Source organism: Homo sapiens, chromosome 6 (genome assembly GCF_000001405.40).
Source record: "Homo sapiens chromosome 6, GRCh38.p14 Primary Assembly".
Taxonomy (NCBI): domain Eukaryota; kingdom Metazoa; phylum Chordata; class Mammalia; order Primates; family Hominidae; genus Homo; species Homo sapiens.
Genome location: NC_000006.12, coordinates 54,974,060 through 54,979,623, shown reverse-complemented (window position 1 = coordinate 54,979,623; position 5,564 = coordinate 54,974,060). Strand labels below are relative to the sequence as shown.

General features: G+C 36.7%; 1 annotated feature.

Moving 5' to 3' along the window:
- Positions 276-776: an enhancer, noted in NCBI's record as "H3K27ac hESC enhancer chr6:54843646-54844146 (GRCh37/hg19 assembly coordinates)". NCBI's record gives its function as "activates a minimal SCP1, AML or CMV promoter by ChIP-STARR-seq in naive H9 embryonic stem cells {active_cell/tissue: H9 hESC(naive)}" and the evidence as "EXISTENCE:reporter gene assay evidence [ECO:0000049][PMID:30033119]".

The window sequence follows — 5,564 nt, the reverse complement described above, 5'->3', positions numbered from 1 at the left end:
CTCGCATTCCTCAGCCCTTGGGTGGTCGATGGGACTGGGTGCCGTGGAGCAGGGGGTGGTGCTCGTCGGGGAGGCTCGGGCCGCACAGGAGCCCATGGAGTGGGTCGGAGGCTCAGGCATGGCGGGCTGCAGGTCCCAAGCCCTGCCCCGCGGGAAGGCAGCTAAGGCTCGGTGAGAAATGGAGCGCAGCACCGGTGGGCTGGCACTGCTGGGGGACCCAGTACACCCTCCGCAGCCACTGGCCAGGGTGCCATGTCCCTCATTGCCCGGGGCCAGCAGGGCTGGCTGTCTGCTCCGAGTGCGGGGCCCGCCAAGCCCACGCCCACCCGGAATTCCAGCTGGCCCGCAAGCGCCACACGTAGCCCCGGTTCCCGCTCGAGCCTCTCCCTCCACACCTCCCTGCAAGCTGAGGGAGTGGGCTCCAGCCTTGGCCAGCCCAGAAAGGGGCTCCCACAGTGCAGTGGTGGGCTGAAGGGCTCCTCAAATGCCGCCAAAGTGGGAGCCCAGGCAGAGGAGGTGCCGAGAGCAAGCGAGGGCTCTGAGGACTGCCAGCACGCTGTCACTTCTCAGTAACATAGACACAGGATGTATTGAAACTATGGAAAAGACAAAAAAAGTAGTTAAACGTGTGGATTCATGTGATGACTACGAATTGTTAAGAAGCATAGTGGTCAGCATTGTTGTGAGGTTAAAACCCAAAAATATGTATGGTCACCTTATCCATGGTCAAGAAAATGTTAAACCATTCTCAGCTAGTGCTGGCTGGTTTGCATGTTTCAAAAAGCAATGCTACATGGAAAATGTTAAACTGGCAGTCAAGGCAATTAAAAAACATTTGCCAACTGTCATACAGAAAAAGGGTTATGTACAACAGCAGGTTTTCAAAGGTAATGAGACTGGCTTGTTTTTCAAAGATTTTGGCAAACAAACCTAGGTAACACAAGTGGTGTTTGGAGTGACAAAAATTTTGTGACCACAGGCTCACAGGAACCTAATCCTGTATTTCCCCTTGGAGCAATAGTTTGATATCTGCTAAATTAATATTCATGGTGACTTTATGGAACATAGCTATCATGAATAATGAGAATTAACTATGTGTTACACACACACACACACACACACACACCCCAATGTTTCTGTTGCTGGCAACTAAAGAATCCAATCAATAATACACTATATCAAAAGACTGAACTTCAATCACTTTTAATATGGTTAACTTTTAATATATAACTCAGAAAACTATCAGCTTGCATCAGTGATATTTCCAGTTTCCTTATACCATACATCTTGTTATAGCTTTCCAATTTGGTAGACAAAATATTTCCATTTTCCCTATATCATAAAACTTGTTATATATTTTGAATTTGGTAGACAAAAAAGAAACATCTTTTTGTTTTAATCTACACTTCCATTCAAGCAAAATTTGCCTTCTCTCATTTCTTGTATGTGTAATTCTCTGTTGTTGTTGTTGGGATCTATTCAGGCACTACCAATTTTTCTTACTGCTTTCTGAAATCATTTTTTACAATCTTCAGGCTGTACTAACCTCAATTTTCTGGTCTAATTCAATAACCTTTATAGTTTCCTCATTCTTTTGTGTTTCTCGTTTTCCTCGTCTTCCTTTTGGATTAATTTTGTGATAAAAATCTATCATACACTATTTCTTCAGCTAGTAATTTTGAGAGTAAGCTTTGTGAGTCCTAGAGGTTTGAAACAGTCGTATTGTCCTCACACATATAATTCATTTGGTTCTGGAAAATTCTAAATCAGACCTTTTTTTAAATCAGATCATATATTCAGAATTCTGGCAATTATGTTCAGAATTGCCAGCTAGAATTCCAATGTCAATGTGATACTTTGTCTTTTAGAGTCTCTAATTTTGTTCATCTTGAAACTCATAGTAAGTTTCACTTGATCCTGGGTTTTCTAAAATGTTACCAGTATGTCTGGGTATGAAGTTTTGCTTTGTTTCATGTATTTACAACATGTTAAGCACCCAGTTAACAAGATTAATGCACACCTTTCTTCAATTCTGATAGTATTTATTATTTCCTCCTTTCTAATTTTGAGTATTCTATTTATAATGAAATTACTTTAGACATATATTGGAACTTTTAGATCTATCACCCTTTTTTTCTAACTTCTATTTTCATACATTTTAATTCTCTGTCCTTTATGGGTTGAACTAGGAAGGATTTTTCACTTGATCTTGTACTTCACTAATTCACTCCTCATCTGAGTCCATTCTGACATCGATTCTGTCTGCTAATTTTATTTATTTTAACAAATTTTAGTACTTGCCAAATTTATTCTTAGCTGTTTTTGTGTTTTGGGAAGTGTATTAAATTTCTTCTTCATCACTTTGAGGATAATTCTGTCTATTCTAAAGTTGTGTGTTCTATTCATGCTGTTTCATTAGGTGTTATTTATTGACATTCACATGTCTTTTTTTTCATGGAGTTTTGTTGCTTATGTGCCCAGATTTTTTTTTTTTTCTTGTGTGCTCATTTTACTGGGCAAACTAGTGAGAGGTAGGATGCTATAGAAAGAACTACATCAGAAGTTAATTTTCTGGTCACAGAATTTTACATTTTACATTTCTTCCTGGGTGTCTCTAGCTCTTCAGTACATTGCCATGTTTCTCTGACCCAAATGACCAATTTCACGGCTTGTGCCTGGCCACAAAAACCTCTACTTGTCCTTAAACTAAGACAGAGAGGGAAGGGTTGCATGTCTTTGGGGTAGTCTCGTCTTCCAAGGCTCTGTTAATTGACTCATGGTCCCTTTCTCCTTAACACATGCATCATGTCCAAGCTTGGAAAAACTTCCCCCTACATCCCCCAACCCACCATCTTTATTTTTTCTATCAGTTTTCTTGTATATAGCTTTTGAGCAGTGACTCCCTCCTTTAATCTCATTCTGTTGTCTGCCACCTTTCAATGATTTATTTCTGGTCCACTGAGGTTATGACTTTTCTATTCCTAGTTCTAATGAATGTTTTTTTTAAAAGTATACTGTTCAGCATTTGGTAAGGGAGGTTTGTCTAGAGTGTGTACTCTGTTAATCACGTTAAGGTAATCCTTAAACAACTTTCTGAGTTTAAAACCATCTGAAAACATGAGAAATAAAATCAGCTTTAGATTTGACTTATTTAAAAATTCAAAGCTGCATTACAGTAAAAAATAAATAATTGAATAGAATTAAACAAAGCAATACAAAAGGGTCATTTGGAATAAACACAACAAAAAAGAGTTCATATGAATATATAAAAAAATTAAGGTTCCAATAGATAAAAAAATTAACTGGAAATTTAAATGACAAAAATAAATGTAAATAAACAGAGAAGTACAACCCAAATAGTAAACAATATAGCCACTGAAAAACTGAGAAACTTTTATATTTGCTAAATTCACACATAAAAATAAATTGTAATGAGAATATTTAATACTACCAAGTATGTGGTAAAATAAACATTATTAGGTACTGCGGATGAGTATTGGAATTGAACTGTTTGCTAATGCATTTCAAATACCCCAAGTGTTTACCCATTTGAGCCAAATATATGACAGTTTTTAAAAATATGTTCAAATGATGATATGTTTTATAGAAAATTTATAATGGAAGAAAAAACAAAGTGTTCTTTGACAGAACAGTTAAGTGAATTAGAGTTCAGTCACATCATAGACTATTCTGTAGGCATTAAAATTGATGTTTACAAAGATTTATTTTATGAGGAAATGCTCAGAATAGGTTACGTCTTTAAAATAAAATATAATTATGTATATAGGTTTCTTTTGACTTAAAAAAATGCACATATGAGTTAACCAAAAACTAAAAGGATGTTTATAAAAATGTCAAGGAAGGTTTTCTTTAGTTGACGAATTTATTTTAAATTTTAAAATCTTCTTATGTATTTTCAAAATCATCTGCAGTGAGGAGATAATAAACTGATAAATAGTAAGATAAATTATTTTAAAAAGCAGTTGTCTGAAAAATATTTTACTTTACTTCTCAGCATCTTTCCCTTTTATTTCATGTCTGATAGCTTTTTTCTTCTTGTATTAGTTTCCTAGGACTGGTGTAGGAAATACCAGTCACTGGGTGATTGAAAATAGTATACATTGATTCTATGACAGTTCTGGAGACCAGAAGTCCAAAATCAAGGTCTTGGCACATCTATGCTCCTTCGGAAGCCTGTGGGGAAGAATCCCTCTTTGCCTCTTCCTGGCTTCTGGTGGTGTCCGTGGATCCCTGGTATTCCTTGGCTTGTGACAGCACAACTTCAGTCTCTGCCTCCATCTTCACATGTTCTCCCTGTGTCTTCACATCATCTTCCTTCTGTGCAAGTCTGTCCTGTGTTCAAGTTCTCCTTTTTATAAAAAGCGCACTGGTCCTATCAGTTTAGGGCCCACTCTAATGATTTCATTTTAACTTATTTAAAAAGACCTTATTTGTGAAGACCCCAAATAAGGTCACATTTGGTGATAGCATGGGTTAGGACACCAGGGTATCTTTTTGAGGTGACACTATTCAATTCACCATAACCCCTTGCCAAGTAATGATGCCATATCTATGTCTGTCTTCAAAGGGGCTATCTCTTGATTCTGAACATCTCTCTTAATCTTCTCAATTATCAAGATGTACTGAATTAGTATGTTATCGCTTAAAGTTGTCTTCTCAATTAGTTGGAAATTTTCTTATGGAAAAGAGCGTGATTTTAAGGTAGGCTTAAGGTACAGTAATGGCTTATGGGGTAAGAATAATTACAGAATGGAAGACATTTTGAGCACCTCTCCAATCATATCATATGGGAGACGTGATAAACTATTTCACCTAATGCAGGGAGAGCAGAACCAAACAGCTGTCACCATGCGGTCTCAATAGAGGCAACAAAGGAAGACAAGATTCAGGATCATTGAAAAGTGGCAGAAATGTCATGTTATATGATATGTGTAGTGACTCTTTAAATTGCTTCCTTAATTTAATATTGTAATTTTTGTTTAGAGAAACCTCTCTTGGAAGCAGTAGTAACCATTTCAAAGTAGAAAATAATAGCATGAAGCTAGAGCCAATTTCCTGGCTTTCTTTTCAAAATCTGCATCCAAAATACAAGAAACAACAATATATAATACAGATGGTAATGTAGGTGGTCTTGGAAATTCTCAGTAAGATGCACTGAATAAGGTATCAATTAAGTATTTGAGAGGTACTAAGCATTACTTATTCACTAAATGGGATATAGATTTAATCATCAAAATACATCTTTAATTGTGAAGGCAGAAAGTAAGAAATGTGGGAGCAATACATTATTAATATTTCTTGATCCCCCAAACCCTTATTCCTTTGATGACTCACATAGAAAGTAGTGTTCTGGTATGCATTATGAATTATAACTAGAAAGATTTTTTATTTTAAACCACTTTGGAACCAGTGTCAGTGTCTATTATTTAGATGTCTATATTAAATTACATGGCTTTTTTTCTAGTTTATTTCCACATTTAAAATATGTATGCCACATGGTATTGCATCTACAGGCACACTTGCAGGAACTAATTTCAGAGGTA